This window comes from Homo sapiens, chromosome 20 (genome assembly GCF_000001405.40).
Source record: "Homo sapiens chromosome 20, GRCh38.p14 Primary Assembly".
Taxonomy (NCBI): Eukaryota; Metazoa; Chordata; class Mammalia; order Primates; family Hominidae; genus Homo; species Homo sapiens.
In genome coordinates this window covers 42,630,814-42,648,558 of record NC_000020.11, presented here as the reverse complement: position 1 = coordinate 42,648,558, position 17,745 = coordinate 42,630,814, and the positions used below count along the sequence as shown (strand labels likewise).

Below are 17,745 nucleotides of genomic sequence, written 5' to 3'. Positions count from 1 at the left end.
TTTAGTCACATTCGGGGGCCTAGGGCAACTCTTCATGTGGGCAGCTTCTCACTTAATGATAGAACCTGCTGTTTCTCTTCTGAACCTTAGCAGCTGCCTTCTGATTATCTGTGTAGTGATTCAACACATTCCTTGAGAGCATCAGGCTGCTGAGGCCAACTGTGTTCCTGTGATGGCTTCTCTCTCTGCCGGGCTTGGTTTGCTGGGAGGACAGCAGTAGTCTTGCAGAGCTGAGAGGGGGATGTAGAGTAAGGACAAAGCACCCCAACAGCCCTTTTTGCTGTTAATGAAGCATGTTCGTGAAGGACCCCTTGATTGAAGTGATGGAGGAGTCTGTTCTTCTTGAGCCATTTTTTCCTTGGATGCATTTGTCTTCAATATGACAGCCAATAACCCAGTAAATTAAACAGCATGCCCCAAGGCCCAGGGTCTTTAGAAGAGCTCTGTAAAAACCCCAGACAACCTCAGGGGAGCCGTTTCCCCAGAGGATCAGGGGAAAGTGTTTTCACCTAAAGTCTAAGGAAAGACCCACTTCAGGGCCATTTCTAAGCTGCTATCTCCAAAGTGTCCTTGGTTGCCATCTTGAGTAGGGACGAGAAATTTCCAGCAAAGCTTACCTCAGAGAAGAAACTCCTGACTTTGTTATTACTTAATGATTTCTCTTAACCCTGACTGCTGTAGATTCGACTTGCAGCATCTTATGATAAAAGAAGAAGTCAGGATAACCAGACTGTTCTTTTAGTTCTGAAATCTGAGAGGAACAGGCTACTAGAGCCTTGGTTTAATGAGCGTCAGCCGGTATCACAGACGCTGTCCCTGTTAGCGGGTTTCTGAAGATGCAGACACATCCTCCAGCCTTGTGTCTCCCATGACTCCTTTCACAAGCGCTGAGGGTGGAATGCTCAAGTGCAGAGTCTGTGGAGGTGAGGTCATAGGGCTGAGAGTGGAGACCTAGGTGTGGAACTTCCTGAGGATCAGGCTGATTTTACAGCAGAGACTCAGGGGAACTTGCAAATTGGATGGTTTCATCTATTAGCTGTCACAGCTGGACTTCCGGGTAAAGTGAATGTCTGAGAAATTGAACCTGAAACGTGCAGTGGGAATGGATTAAGAGGAGCTCTGGGCTGTTGACGGGACACCAGGGGTACAGCATATGAGGGGACCATTTATTTACTTTATTTATTCATGTATTATTTACTGAATGCTGCTCTGTGACAGACACTGTAGTGGAGACTGGAGATTTAGAGGTGAACCTGGCATCCTCCCCTGTGTCTTAGTAGCCCACACTCTCATCACAAGAATGGCAAAGATATGAACCTGGGGATGCAATACAAGCATATCATAACTATCTTAGTCATTGGAGGCTGGGCATGGTGGTTCACACCTGTAATCCCAACACATTGGAGGCCAGGGTGGGAGGGGTCACTTGAGCCCAGGAGTTGGAGACCAGCCCTGACAACATAGTGAGACCCCATCTCTACAAAACAATTTTTAAAAAGTAGCTGGCCATGGTAACACACCCTGTAGTCCCAGCTACTCAGGAGGCTGAAGTGGAAGGATTGCTCGAGCCCAGTAGATTAAGGCTGCAGTGAACCACGTTCACGCCACTGCACTGCAGCCTGAGCGACAGAGCAAACTCCATCTCAAAAAAAAAAAAAAAAAAAAAAAAAAAAAAAGGCTGTCTTAGGTTGGGATCTCTAGATATAGAGCCTGAGATAGGAGAACAGGTACATGTGATTTATTGAGGGAGGAACCTGTTGAGGAGGGAGGGATGTGGGTGGGGTTGAGTCAGAATGTGGTCAGGTTAAGTATCCCCTTAGTTTTACCCAGAAGCTGAAGCCTATAGTGCAGCACCATCCAACAGAACTTCCTGTGAAGATGGCAGTGTTCTGTATCTGGGCTGATAGGAGAGTCACCAGCGACTCATGGCTACTGAGTACTCAAAATGTAATTTTTGGAGTTGAAGAACTGAAATATTAATTTTATTTAATTTTAATGAATTTAAATTGAAATATCCACATATGGCCAATGGCTACCATATTGGAAGTGCAGCTCTAGGGCTCGGTGGACAAGTTTCTTCCATCAAGGGCCAGAGTAAATACTTTAGATCTTGTGGCCCAGACGACCTCTGTTGCAATAACTCAACTTCTGTTGTAGCAGGAAAGCAGCCATGGACAATTCAAAAAGGAATGGGGTGGCTGTGTTCCAATAACAATTTACAAAAGCAAATGGAGAGCTGGATTTGGTCCATGGTCCATAAAGCACACTGAAGAGTTGCCCCTTCCACATACATTCTGCCAGGGGCCAGCCTTGCATAGCCTATGCCAGTTTGCCCTTGGCCGTGGGTCCCCTGGAGAAGAATGGTAGTTTCTGGGCAAAGTGACACCTACCAGTTGAGGGCATTGCCTGGAGCAAGGGAAGGGTGGGTGGGATGCTGTGATTCCTGGGCACCTGACCTCACAGCAATGGGGATGGGTATAGTGGCTGGGTAAGGAGAATCTAGGAGGTACACTACAGTGTCTACTACAATAATCAACAATTCTTTTTGTGTGTTCACTACAAGCCAGGAAGAGTGGTAGGTGCTTCACATGGATTCTTTTCATTCAGTTATCAAAATAGACCTATTGAGAAAGTAATTGAAGCATCTCCAGCACATTTCTATAAAACTCACTGAGTTTCATCACTTCAGTTTTGTTGGCTTGTAACCAATGACCAAGATATTTATTCTGCCTCTCTCTCTCTGTCACCCCTCCCTACACACACACACACACACACACACACACACACACACACATAAATACACATCCCATCTGAAACATACATATGGTGCTAGTGGCAGTCATGTCCTTTTTTCCTCTGGGTGGCTTTCCTCTATTCCCAGAGACCTCCGTGACCTGATCTATCTTTGTTGTAGCCGCCTGTACTTACTCTGACTCTCCGTGGTATTTTACAGCCCATATTTCCTTCTTCATAGGAAACCCATCTCTCCATGTGTTATGTTGGGTTCCCTCAAAAACAGATCCTGATTTGGGTGTAAGTCATTTCCTTCGGAGGTGATCCCTGAAAACACAGTGAAGGCTCAGGGAAGGGAATAAAGACCAATGAAGGGTGTGTTAATGGGCAGGTTACCATTGTGGCCAACTGTGGTTCATCCCCACTGGAGGCCCTGCTGGACACACATATACCTTAGAAAGTTAGGGTATTTATCCACCCATTCCCAGCCGACATTGGATGAGGGTCGCTCATGGAGTGTTAACTTCCTAACTCTTCCACACGACCCAGAGTTGAGCACATTCCCTCAGGGAGAGCCCCTTCCCCTCCATTCAGGGAGACTCAAAAAGCAGGCTGCCTGTGACCTCCAGGCTGCAGGTAGGGTTTTGTCAGCCTTTGTCACACTCCTCTGTCTTGACTTACTAGTAGTTCTCCAAACATGGACTTTTCTGACTTAGGGATCTATAGCCAAATTCTACAGTGCCATAGACTGCGTGACAAATTGCACTGTGAAGGAGAAGTTACAGACTTACTAACTTGGGGTGAGAAAATAAGGAAACCACTTCATGAGCCTTGGCTTGTACTTCTGATTGATGTAGCAAGGTTCTGAACTTCTCTAGGTCTCAGTTTCTTCCTCTGTATAATGGGAGTGATGGCAAGGCTTTTACTGTACCTTCAATGAGAAATGGAAGAGCACATACTTAGTAATCTGTGCAATACATATGAATATAAGTTATTGCTTAAGGACTAAGTGTTGTGATTAAGGCAATGTAAATGAATTGCTGATCATTATCCCAGGTCTTTACCTTAATGTGTATGAATCTGGAGCTCCTTACTCACAGCCTACCTCCCAGAAAGTCCCTGAGTGCTCCTGGGGCCAGGCTCTGGGGTTACACTGAAGACCACTTTGCTGAGTCTCTGGACTTTGAGGGCTCATGACCAGAGATGAGGAAGACCCAGGGTCATTACCCTCCATGCAAAACACCTTATTCTTCATTGCATCCTATAGCCCCTGTCCCCTGTATCTGTGCCCAAATACAAGATGCACAGGTAAGAGCCTAACCTAGTGATGAAGAGCATATTGATAAGAGAAGGGGCATGAACATAGACAAAGGAAAGCCCTGTACTCTGCTTTGGAAACATGAAGATCAGTGCCCAAGACCTGGAAGGCTGTACTGATAAATTGGGAGGGGACTTGGATGATGTTTTCAGGTATTTCATCTCAGGGACACATTGCAGAGCTTTAAGCAGAGAGTGACATGTGTTTTGGGAAGTCTCTCTGGTTTGGAGTGTAAGGCGGATTAGAAAAGGTGAGTCTGGAGGCTGCAGGCCCTAAGAGGAGGCTGTCACAAAGGTCCAGGTGACAGAGACAATGAGGCCTGGATGAGAACAGGGCTGTAAACCTGCACAGCCTGTTGAAGGCTCAGTTGCAGATTGGGATTCTTGGGACTTTACTGAGAAGTGGCAAGAGTGCAGTTAGGGCCCCCTTGGTTTTCTGCGGGTCTCTTCAGGCCCATCACACAGCCTGGATTTTAAGAGCACTGCATCATGAAGAGCACTTCACTCCTTCAATCTGTGGATCTTGTGTTTGCTAGAAGGCTTTCTTTCCTGATGGTGTTCTCTCTTCCCAGAGCACCTTGTCAAAGAAGGAGAAGGAGCCATAAGCTCAGAGAGGAAGGCAGCCAGCTCTTGATTCATGATGCCTGGCCTGGCTGAAAAGGGAGGTCCATAGAGGCATTATGCTCAGGCAAGGGGAGGGTTGCAACCAGTCGTATAAAGCAGCTTGGTATGAGGAGCTCTCTTATAGTGTGCACAAAGCAATGCATAGTGGTTGTGGCGGAGGCTCTGAAGCTGAGCTGCCCAGCTTGAAATGCTTGCCCATCACTAACTGTAAGCTTGGGTAAGGTATTTAAATTTTTGCACCTTATATTTTCATCTTGAAAGTGAAGGTAGCTGGGCATGGTGGCTCACACCTGTGATCCCAGTGCTTTAGGAGGCCAAGTTGGGAGGATTGCTTGAGCCCAGGAGCTTGAGACCAGCATGGGCAACGTAGCAAAACCTTGTCTCAATTAAAAAAAAATAGCTGAGTGTGGAGGCATGTACCTGTAGTCCTAGCTACTCAGGAGGCTGAGGACAGGAGAATCACTTGAACCTGGGAGGTTGAGGCTGCAGTGAGCTGTGATTGCACCACTGCACTCCAGCCTAGGTGACAGAACAAGACCCTCTCTCAAAAAATAAATAAATAAAATAAAGTAAGGGTAATAACAGCATGTACCTCATGGGTTTTTGTATAAGGAATAAATGATACAATCCATGTAGAATTTTGGCAAAATGCTTATTCACCAGGTGTTATCAGCATGTATGAAGAAAATAGTATGTGTGAAGTAATGGAACTGGTTGCATCAGTCAGCTATTGCCATAATAATGCTGCGTAACAATACTCAATGTGCATCTTGGATTAACTAGCAGGTCAGCTGGAACTAGATGGTCTCAGGTGGCTTCAGCTGGGTGACTCCACTTTGGTCCACCTGGTCTGACATTCAATAAGCTAGCCTGGCCTTGGGGTGTCTTCTCGTGGAAGAAGTAGGGATCCAAGAGAAGAAGCAGAAATGCACAAGCACTTTTTCAAGCATCCACTTGCCCACAGTTTGCTGTTGTCCCATTGGCCAAAACAAGTCATGTGGCCAAGCCCAGAGTCAAAGTGGGAGGAAACTACCCAATTACAAGTCAAATACAGATCCAAGGAGAGCACTAAATGTATTCATTAACACAATCAATATCACTTTGGTTTTTTACATTAACCTCCCAAAGTGGGGTTAATCCTTGAGGCAATACTCATTTCAACAATCCTGCTCTCCCACTAACTAATTAGGTTATTCTTCCTTGGGAATTATTGGTATTAAAGAGTGTAATACTAGTTACCACTCACTGGGTACCTCATTGATCTCAGGTATTTAATGTTCCTACCTCCGGAGGCTGTTATGAGGATTAGGTGGGATAATGTACATACAGTCCTTAGTTTAGCTCAGAGTGAGCACATTGTATTAACTCTACAGATTCACATTATTATTCACATTATTATCATTGTTGTCACCATCAAGATTATTACTATTCCCTATCTTACTCCAAATGTAGGCATTTTTATCTCCATTTAACAAATAAGTCACTGAGACTCAGGGAGGTCCATAACTCTGTCAACGTCCCACAACTAGTAAGGATCAGAGCTTTCTCAGTCAGTTGGAAAATAACTTGGAAATAGTTGGAAGTCATTCATATAGTGTGATGTGAAAGAATGATCATTAATATGCAGAAAATCTAATTCTGAGCCCACACCCAAGGCCCTCTAGCTTTGGCCCAATAACCTGAACTGCTCTGAAGGGTTTCCAGGAGTGTGTGAATCCTCTTCTTAGTGGCAGCCTTGCAGAAACAGACCATTTGGCACTCACTTGTCTCCCCAGGCTGAATTCCCAGACATATTCAATATTATCTGGACAGGCACACTGCTGGTGTAAACAGTCTGGTTGCTGAGTTGGATTTAATAACCTTGTAGTTCCCTGCATCTTTCAAAGCAAGCTCTATGCTCTCCCATCTCAGCTCCATGTTAGCCTGTGAGACAGGTATCTGGGTCCTCTTGGAAGAGGGCACTCTAAGACGCTTAGAAGTCAGTATGAGGCTGCATAGTCAAGATAGAGCTGGGACTGGAAACTGGGACTTCAGGCTCCAAGCATTGCTCCCTCTGTCGACACCAGGTCTTGCCTGGGCATGGAGGTATCATATCATGCCTCTCTAGCCTTTGCCTTGCCTCTCTTTACCACTCTTGGTCTCTGTGGCTGCTTATTCCAACTGCTTAGGTTCTTTTCCAGGGAATATCAGTCATAAATGGCTCATCCAAGCCATTTGCAAGTTCTCTGGGTCCACTGGAAAGAATTACATTCAGCCTTAATCTGGCTCCCAGTGATGGCAAAGCATACTCACAGTGTTTGTGTGGATCACAGACTTAGAGGGACTTTTCCAAAGTCTGTAGGCTTTGGTTTACAGAAAAGCTGATGCCTGACCTATGATAGAGACCCTCATTAATGACTCTGTAAATGATTTTCAGGCGAGGGAGCGAGGAGACAGAGAGAATGTATAAAGCCCCCATCAAAGACAATTCTTGCAGACCTATAATTCTTCAATATATCCTATACTCTCAGCTCTCACTGCTGCTTATTCATCCAGGGTTCCAGGCTGTTCTCAGTGCACACTTTATCAGTTCATGCAATTACCCTTAGGAAGGCCTCTCACACATCGCTAGTGACAGATTAGCACAGTCCTTTTGGAAGGAATAGGAAATGTGTATGAAAGGTCTTAAAAATGGCTCATGCTCTTTAAACCAGCAATCAATGCTGGAGAAATTATCCTAAAGAATTAATTCAAACCTAGGAAAATGCTATATGCAGGGCAATTTATGGTAGCAAAAATTGGAAGCAACCTAAATTCCCAACACTATGGTAATGGCTTAGTAAATCATGACCATCCACTTAGTGGAATATTATGCAGCAATTAAAATGGTAATTATAGATGCTATTGGGCAACCTTAAACATGCTTATGATATAATGCTAAATAAATAAGCCAGGAGACACCATTGAACATACACAATGATTAAAATCATGTAAAAATATGTGTTTGTGTTGTCATTAATGGTGGGGCCCGAGGAACAATCCACATTTCAAATTCCCAGATGGAGTAAGGGTGGTTTCCAGCTAGAAAGCAAAATCTGACTGACACAGAGGCAGCCCAGGCAAGCTGAATGGTGATCCTCAATGTAGATTTAAGTCTTCCACTAATTTCAAACATCTCTAGACATTTTTTTCCCAATGCTTATTTTCAATACTTGTGTTGATTAGAGAAGATTCTCGCTGGGTGGCATGGCAGGTAATCCTAGCACTTTGGGAGGCTGAGGCGGTGGTCAGGAGTTCGAGACCAGCCTGGCCAACATGGTGAAAACCTATCTCTGCTAAAAATAAAAAAATTAGCTGGGCATGGTAATGCACACCTCTAATCCCAGCTACTCGGGAACCTGAGGCACGAGAATCACTTGAATCCAAAGGTTGCAGTGAGCCAAGATCATGCCACTTCCATCCAGCCTGGGCGACAAAGCAAGACACTGTCTCAAAAAAATTTTTTTTTTTTAAAGAAGTCTCTATACTTAAAGATTGGTGCCCAGTGAATGAAGTTCCCAGTGAATGGTAACTAGTGTTACACTCTTTATACCAAACAATGTGACTAAAATGTAAGCAAAAATGTATAGACAAAGAATAGATTCATATAACTACCAATAAAAAAATAAATTTTACTGGTGCTTATGAAATCTCTAATATTCTAATGTGTGGGATTTACACTTCACGTTGGTTCAAGTAACACAAGGTGCAACATGCCCATTTGATTAAGAACTTGTTAGACTTGGTGAGGGCAGGTACAGAGGTGTGGTATGGGCAGAAACCAGATTGTAGCAGGTAAAGAATGAACTCCATCTGTGTAGACAACACTTTTATGATGTTTGGCTGTCAAAAGGAGATATCATATAGGTCCATAGCTGCTGACAGATGGCAGGTTAAAATTCCCAGCTTCATTCGGGTTGGGGGGAGAGGGATTTTCTGGTTATTTTGTAAAGCAGAAGCGGCGTAGACAATTTGAAATGCTGACGGACCATGGCCAGAGTAAAAAGACAGGTGCCTGGAAAGAATGGAGTAAGATTACCAGGAAGGTAGAAGAGAGGGATCTAATTAATGTCTAGATAATTTGTAAACACTGAATTATAATACCTAAAAGAGCATGTGAAATCTTTTGATTGGTTTGTGTCTCCTAGTGTCCTGAAATTTAGGAGCAATATAACAGACAGGGACATCAAGAAGAGAAAAAGTGGGAAAGCTTGGAAAGCCCAGAAGACTGTGGGCTAAGGAGGAGACTTTAGGGAAAGTTCTCTGGGTGCTTTTTAGTGAAATGCTGTAGGCTGTGCTAGGGGAATGTACCCTCCTGTGTCCCCTACAAAATGATTCGTGAAAGGAATATGCTTCCTTAGAGTTGAGACCCAAGGAATGCTCTGGGAATTGCGGAGAGAGCGGATTCAGGGCCAGAACAGAGGCTGCATGCAAAGGCAGTGGATGGCCAGGGCATAGGAGACTCAGGGCTCTGGTTTCAAATTCAAGTTTCTTACTTTACCACGAGGAAAACAGGGAATGAGGAAGTGCATTCGTCAGCTAAAATGGGTGATAAGACAGAACAGAGGCCCAAAGTTACAATTAAAGCAAGTGACTACCAGTGTTCCTTGTTCTATTATTTCTTAGCTTATTTAAAAAAAAATGTAAATGCCACTGTCAGGCTGCTACAGAGCACCTGTGAGTGGGTAAAATTGTATTGTGACTAAAATAGGCTCCTTGTAGAAGAGGTCAAGTGTGCATTTGGGCCTTTTTCTGAGCTGGTTCAGATTTAAAGGTCAACTTGTCCTTCTATTGGAGACATTAATAACTTAAAGAAACAAATGGGAAGGTTCTTTAAAATTTATGTTTGAGTTACAAAAATCTATCTGAAACCTTATAATTAATGTGCTATAGCAATCTCTGTTGCAAGAGATTTTTTTTCTAGTGTTTGTTTAAATATGTGGTATTTAAATTGGCTCTGCCATTTTAATTCTCCATTAATTCATGGGTTTATCTTAGACATCTTTCTAATGTGTGGGAAAACAGTTTATAAACAGAGAAGAAAATTGAAATTCAACCTATATATTATGGATTTTTTAATTGCAGAAACAATGTGACTAAAATTTAAGCAAAAATGTTTAGACAAAGAATAGATTTGTACAACTACCAACAAAAAAATAAAGAAATTTTACTGGTTCGGTGCTTATTCCATTCTGTCACTTGTGGCTTGAGTATGTATTTGATTTACTTGTGCTCAAACTTGGGTTTGTACTATTTTATATCCTGCTTTTAAAAAAGCACAGCATAGTCAGGATTCATTTAGTCATAAGTAAGACAGAGGGAGATTTTATGGACTTGTGTAACTGAAAATCCATTGTTGGGCCCAACTTTAGACTTGAATAATATGAGTCATATATTCTATCCATAGACTCAAGATTAGGATCAGTTTCCCCATAATACATGTAGAGCAGGAGCGAAGGGTGAGTATCTTCAAAAGCACACATCCCCATGTCCACCTGTTTTATGTTTCGACCGCTCAGGCAGGGCAAAGTAGATGTTCAGCCCCGCTAAATGGACATCCTGAAGTAAGATTTAGATAAGCTTCCCAGTCTATCCCAATCTGTTATACTGAGATGTCCCATTTTCCCTCCTTTAATTGGCAACAAACCTGTCTCACCTCTGGTCTGGGTGACAGGTACATGGGTGAGGCTATCAAACTGAGTAATGGAATGTGTTTATCTATGGATAGAATCAGTAGTGTGCTGATAAAAATAAGCCTTGAATTGTAATGTTTGCCAATTTCCTGGGTGTAAATATTCCTACTGTGACTGATTTCTCCCTATCAGTGTAAAGTTATTGAATATTGGGTTGGGAAGAGATGTGCACAATTGGCTCCTGTGAGTAGATACAATTCACCCTTCTTTATGTATAACAGAAATTCTCTCATATAGTGTACATTCTTATTTATAGAGTGTTTTCATAGATGCAAGTTTGATTTTTAAATCTCAGACCTTTACCCTCTTAGCTTTGTCAGTTTGGAGGCTGGCTAATATATTTGCAGTTGCTCTTTCTTAAAATTATTTATTCAATCAATTATTCATCCTTTTCTTTAACAAATTTGTATTGAATGCCTACTGTGTGTCAGATACTTTCTTATGCACTGGGAACTCAGCAGTGAATCAAACCAAGTCCCTGTTCTTAGAGGAGCTGACAATCGGTAAATAAATATTATTCTTCAGGTGAAAATGATATGAAAAATTTTCAGGGAAGGGACAGACAGTAATGAAAGGGGAACTGTGGAGAAGAGCGATTTTAAGTAGGATGGTTATGGAAAGCTTCTCTGCACAAAGAACTGAATGAAGTGAGATAGCAAGCCCTTTGAAGATCTGCAGGAACCCCATTCTGGGTTGAGGGAGCAAGCAGCAATTGCAAAGGATGTGAGGGGGGAACAAGCTTGGCATATGTAAGGATCAGCAAGGAGGACAATGAGCCTTGAGTGGTGCTAGCAACAAGGAGACTGGCAGGAGATGATGTCAGAAAGATTGTTAAGGCCCAGATCACATAGATCCTTGCTGGCAATGGTTAGGACTTTGGATTTTTAGCCCAGTGAGAAGGAGACAGTGGTGAACCATTCTGGCTTCTAAGTGAAACACGTAGACCAGTAATTCTCAAAGCATAGTTCCCTGACCAGCAGTGTCAGAATAACCTGATAACTTGTTGAAAATGCAAATTATTAGGTCCTCACTTAAACCTATGGAATCAGAAACTCTGGGGGTGGCATCCAGCAATCTAAATCTTAGGAAACCCTCTTGGTGATGCTGATGCATGATAGACTTGGAGACCTCGACTATGGCTGTGTGCTCTCTCTCCTCATTGTATCCCTCCAGAGTCAGAGGCACCATCTTCCATGAAGGTTTGAGTGCTATATTTCATCATATATATCAACACTGTTAGGTTCCTGTAAGAATATGATAGAATCCCTACAGTTGATACTTTCAAAAGCCATCAGATCCACACATGCTGGAACTTGCACATCTCACCATCACTTCCATCCTTCATCTCCATTTTATTTTAATTAATTGATTAATTAATTAATTATTTTTGAGTTGGAGTCTCACTCTGTCACCCAGGCTGGAGTGCAGTGGTGTGATCTCGGCTCACTGCAACCTCCACCTCCTGAATTCAAGCAATTCTCCTGCCTCAGCCTCCTGAGTAGCTAAGATTACAAGCATGCGTCACCATGCCCAGCTAATTTTTGTATTTTTAGTAGAGACAGTGTTTTACCGTGTTGGCCAGGCTGGTCTCAAACTCCTGATCTCAAGTGATGCCCCCACCTCAGCCTCCAAAGTGTTGGGATTACAGGTGTGAGCCACTGCATCTGGCCCATCTCCATTTTAAGATCCTCCCAATGGCATTCTTAAAGCCATTGGTGATTATATCACACTCTTCACCAAAGGTTTGCTTCTCCCTTGAACAGTTTTATGAAGTATATCCTCATTTTGGTAATTTTATTTTGTAAAATGATTCTATCTGTTTGAAGTATAGCAGGAAGAGCAGTTTGCAACACAGCATGAAGGTTATTTAACTTGTATGTAACGGGTGTGAATTGTTCCATGATACTAAGTTTAAATTATTAAGTATGGCTCAGTCCCTACCCACTTCAGACTTTTGCCCTCCCTTGAAACTGTAAAAGAATGCCAGGGCTTGGGCAACCTCCATGCAGCCATAATAAACAACCCTTCCCCAGGATTTCTGGATTGTTTTACCATGTATAAGAGTAATCAAGTTCGAGGTTACTGTAGCCTAATATTATTCAAATTGTCGGTCAACTCTATTAATTTCATAAGTACAATTTTTTAGAAATATATTCAGCATTAACTCGGTGACTTTCCTTAAAAGCCAAAGAAAGAGTCCTCACAGTCTAGTAGTTAATAATTAGTTCTTATGAGTTATATATAACTACACTGTATGCAAGTCCTTAAGATTCCAATGTGGACACTCAGCTTGCAGAATTCTTGGTGACGATATCAAGCTGGCAGTTTACAGATACTATTCAGCAGGTGTTTTGAACTCCATCTGGATCTCGTTCTACCAACTAGACCTAGAATTCCATTAGCTGAAAGTTGGATTTTTACTTGGTCTTAAAACAAAAAATAAAATAAAATCTAAGGCTTCAAAAAAGAGATGCCACAAACTGTATGTGTAATTCAGATTCTAGCATTTCCAAATATGAGAATTATTACCATGGTATTTGTTCAAATGTAATCATCTGAGCATATTACTACACATATCTGTGACTCCTATTACAAGCAGTTTTAGCAACAAAAATAATAACAATTTTTCAAGGATTATAAGTTCATGTAATTGCACATGGGAGAAAAATATGGATGTTAAAGCCTCTTAAATGTGGAAATGCAGCACATTGTTGCCTATTATATTTTTCAGGTTCTTGTTCACGAATTTCATCTTAACCTATATTCTTTTTTTTCTTCAATTTTGCCCTTTTGTGCATAGATTTCAGGAATATAATTAACCATTGCATGGAATTTAAAATATTTCTTGATACTGGAGTTCTCTTTGCTATCAAGTGGTTATTTCAAATTTTATTTACATAGTTATTATTTTTCATCTGGGGACACATTCATTTGTTTTCAATGTAGTTCTAAGTGTGACTTTCCAAAGTTTATCATCCATCCATTCATACTGATTTAAAATAAAATTAACTTGTTATGAAACCTCTCAGACCAAGAGGATGCTTGCCTTTCTGAAAAATATTTTTTTTCAGTATTTCTCCATCTAGTGTTCAAATTAGCTCTGAGAAACCACAAGCAAGATTAAAGGTAATTGACTTTAAACTTTCCTTTTCATTCAGTCATCCAAAGATTGTGGATACCTGCTGTGTTTCAGGCACTGTGCTTGGGGCTGAGGATTCAAAGATAAGTAAGAAATGGAAATGGCTTTGGAACTGGAAATAAAAAAGACTTACCTTAGATTTCACTTTAATGTTTGTTTTATAATCAAATTGAGGTATAATAAGTCAAGTTATAATGATTTGTTTAAATAATATGTTTAACTCCCAAAGCAGACTGCGTTGCATGTGAATTTACAGTCTGGTCATATATACATTTTGAAGCAAACTCATCTTTTTCATCTCTCTAAAATGCCAGCTATTAGACTATAATGCTTCACATAAGCAGGGGTTGGGGAAGAAAAAAGACATATTTTTCGTCTTTTTTAAGGTGCAAGGAATCTGAAATCTTTATTTTCCATTGACAATCCTTGATTAATTTTAAAATGAAATTAGCATGCCTGTACCTTCCTCTACTTGTCACTATAATGTAGTCTGTGCTGCAAAACAACCCTGAAGTTCAGAGATTCAACACAATAGAAGTTCATTTTATAATCATGTGAAGTCTCATGTGGGTCTGGTACCTCTCCTGGGAAGCTCTTCTTCAAACATTGGTGACTCAGGGATTTGGGCTGCTTTCATCTTATAGCTCTGTCATCTCTATCATGGAGCTTTCAAGGCCTCTGTGACAAAGAAAGAGAGAAATAGGGGGTAGTGCACCAACTCATACTTACCTCAACCCAGCAATGAACACACATCATTAACGTTCACAGTCGGTGGACCAGAAGCAGTCCTGTGGTCTACCAGACCAGTCATGTTTCATATTTCAGTTTTGTTCCTCATCTCAAGACTGAATTGGCAGTTATCAAGTAACCCATCAAACCATATATATAATATTATATATAATTATATATATAATATATTATATTATTATAATATATATATTATTATATTATATATATATTATATATATATTATATATTTATAATATATATATAATATATATAATATATATATTATATATATATTATATATATATAATATATATAATATAATATATAATATATTATAATATATTATATATAATTATATATTATATTATATTATTATAATATATTATATATAATTATATATTATATTATATATAATAATTATATTATAATATATTATAGATAATTATATATAATAAATTATATTATTATAATATATTAATATTTTATTATATATATATATATATATATATATATATATATATTTTCAGAGTCTTGCTGTGTTGCCCAGGCTGGAGGGCAGTGGTGTAATTACAGCTCACTGTGACCTCCACCTCCCAGGTACAAGCAATTCTCGTGCCTCAGCCACCAGAGTAGCTGGGATTACAGGCGTGTGCTACCACACTCAGCTAATTTTTGTATTTTAAGTAAAGACAATGAGGTTTTGCACTGTCTCGAACTCCTGGCCTCAAGTGATCTTCCTGCCTCAGCCTCCCAAAGTGCTGGGATTACAGGTGTGAGCCATAGCTCCTGGCCTGTCAAACCATATTCTAATAACCATTTTCTCCTACTGTCAACTTACAACGAAGTGTTAGATTGGGGTTTAAATGGACACTGCTATGCTATCTAGCTATGCAGTGTACATTTCTTAAAAACTATGATACCGTTCTCCAAGCACAGTCATGTGTTTTTCCAAAGATTGTTTGCTGTCATCATTCCAGAAGTTATCCATCTATTTGATCAAATTCCAGTACATAAAATATATTTCAAGTTGCTATATTTTAGCCAGTCTACTTCTGCTCTCTGGTGTTAATAGCATATACATTTTCCAATGAATCAATTTCAGATGGTTTCTATTGCCTTTGAAATGAGGATCTTCTCAAGGACCTAGAATGTTCAGTGTAAGCTAGAGGGGATAACCAGAGATTCTTTAAGAATAATTCAGAGTTTCTCCCCAAACTGAGAGGACTGTTTTCTCCATATGTATAGCAAATGAAGATAGATATTGGAATCATTCTCAAAAAGCACTCTTATTCCATGAGGCAGAGCTTGGCTGGGTACTTCCTAACTTCTACTTTGCCAAATAGATGTCCTATTTATGAATATTTCACTTGTTTCTAGCTTTTATAGGTACATACTGTGATGTGCCACCTGGCTATCCCTTCAAGAAAGGATTTGTTACCCTAGCTGCTGAGACTACAGCTAGCAGGCTGCTCTTAAGTGCTAGCCCTATGTCAGGGGTCCCTGAGACCATCCTTAGGCTTGATGATTTATAAAAGGACTCACAGAACTCAGGAAAGCTGCTATACTCATGTTCCAGTTTAATATAGTAAAAGATATATATTAATATAGTAAATATTAATAAATATAGTAAAATATAGTAAAATTAGTAATATTACATAAATTTAGTATAATATATAAAATTAGTAATACAGTAAAAATTAGTAAACATAGTAAATATAGATAATATAGTAAAAGAATACAGATTAACAGTGAACGGCTGGTTTTAAAAGAAGCATAGGATAGTGGCCGGGTGTGGTGGCTCACGCCTGTAACCCCAGCACTTTGGGAGGTCGAGGTGAGTGGATCACAAAGTCAGGAGTTCGAGACCAGCCTAACCAATATGGTGAAATCCCATCTCTACTAAAAATGCAAAAATTAGCCAGGCCTGTAATCCCAGCTATTAAGGAGGCTGAGGCAGGAGAATCGCTGGAATGCAGGAGGCAGAGATTGCAGTGAGCCAAGATCGCACCACTGCACTGCAGCCTGGGCGACAGAGTGAGACTCCGTCTCAAAAACAAAAAAACAAAACAACAACAACAACAAAAACAGCATAGGAGAAAGCATGTGTGATCTTGGGGTTGTGCCAGCAATGCTTCATCCTCTCAGCAACAGTGTGTGACAATGCATAGGAAGGATTGCCAACAAGGAAGCTCACCTGAGCTTTGGTCTCTAGGGTTTCTACTGGGGGCTAGTCACATAGGCCTGGGGTACCTCCATGACTGCTCAGTCTCCGGCGTCCAACCAATACAGCATGACCAGGGCCCCAGGTGAACAAAAACAGGCATTCACCATAAATCACATTGTTTGCATAAACTATCTGGCATATCCCAAGACCCCAGATACACAAAGACATTTGTATCAGGCTAGGTATTCCAAAGGCTTATAGGTTATCTCCCAGGATGGTCAAGGGGCCAGTCTTCTCTTTAAAATGTGCAGAGTTTGAGTACCCCAAGTCCACTGGGTTAACCTTGCACAAGCTTGCATTCATTCATTCATTCATTCATTTACACAAGCTTCTTCAAGAATCCCCTCAGCTTTAGAGAGTTGCCTTGCCCAAGATTGGGCTCCTTCCTGGGGCAGCCAATGTTCACTGACTCAGAGAATCAAGAGTTTAAATGTTTTACCATTTCATCCCCAAAACAGGACAACTCACATTCCAGCCTTAGAGCTCCCCAGCAGGTTAGCTGAAGATGTTATTGGGCCTACCTCACAGCTTGACTTCTATTTCTGCCCCATTCCTGCTAACTTCCCCTATTCTGCATAGCTGTTGACCCCACGGAAACCACTTAAAACATCTACATGCTAAACTCTCAGAGTCTGCTTCTCAGGGAACATAACATGTGGCAATATGTGAAGCTGAATTGAGTATTTTCATGTGTAGATCATTTTGTTACTTCTAAAAGATTATCTTGATTTAAGTCTTCAGGAACATTTTTAACTAATTACATATAGCTCTAAAATTAATATGGAAATTGAGTTTAGAAAAAAATGCTTTTTCATAGAATCCCAATGTATTTCATCACCAGGTGGTAGAGAAGTTCATCCATCTCACCCCACTCTCGCCAGTGTTAGACTTCATCCTATTGATTGTAGACCTTCTGTATAAGACAATTGGAGTTTTCTTCCTGTTTCCTCAGGTTATTAGCTTGACCTCTTTTGATACCATTGCAGATCTTGTCAATATGGCCATATATCTGAGAGTTTGTTCACTGGCACAATTTTATTAGGCGAGGATTTTTTTTTCTGTAATGGTTTCTTGGGTAAGAGTCTCATCACTTCATCATAAGTAAGCTTAGGAGGCCTGGGGACAAGATTACTTCCATGGTACCACTCACCATGGTAGAAGAGACTTCAATCACTCAGAGAATATCTGTGGTGCCAAACTCCACACATGGTTCTTTCCATAGTTCTGAGGTTATTGATACTTATCCAAGAGCAACGCTCTTGATAGTA

At 40.8% G+C, this 17,745-nt stretch overlaps 1 protein-coding gene and 1 long non-coding RNA gene across 14 annotated transcripts in view; one reads left to right on the top strand and one right to left on the bottom strand.

Moving 5' to 3' along the window:
• Positions 1–17,745, top strand: part of PTPRT (protein tyrosine phosphatase receptor type T) — a 1,158,017-nt gene that overhangs the window by 541,348 nt on the left and 598,924 nt on the right. The window lies entirely within an intron of this gene.
• Positions 1,005–17,716, bottom strand: LOC105372624 (uncharacterized). 3 transcript variants are annotated; one of them, XR_007067589.1, is made up of 5 exons: positions 17,628–17,716; positions 14,104–14,202; positions 3,525–3,664; positions 2,929–3,060; positions 1,005–1,084 (listed from the first exon to the last, which is right to left on the bottom strand). It is a non-coding gene; the product is annotated as an uncharacterized LOC105372624 (long non-coding RNA). The 3 variants fall into 3 exon arrangements; XR_007067590.1 differs by having other exon boundaries at positions 3,529–3,664; XR_007067591.1 differs by lacking the exon at positions 17,628–17,716 and adding an exon at positions 17,345–17,430.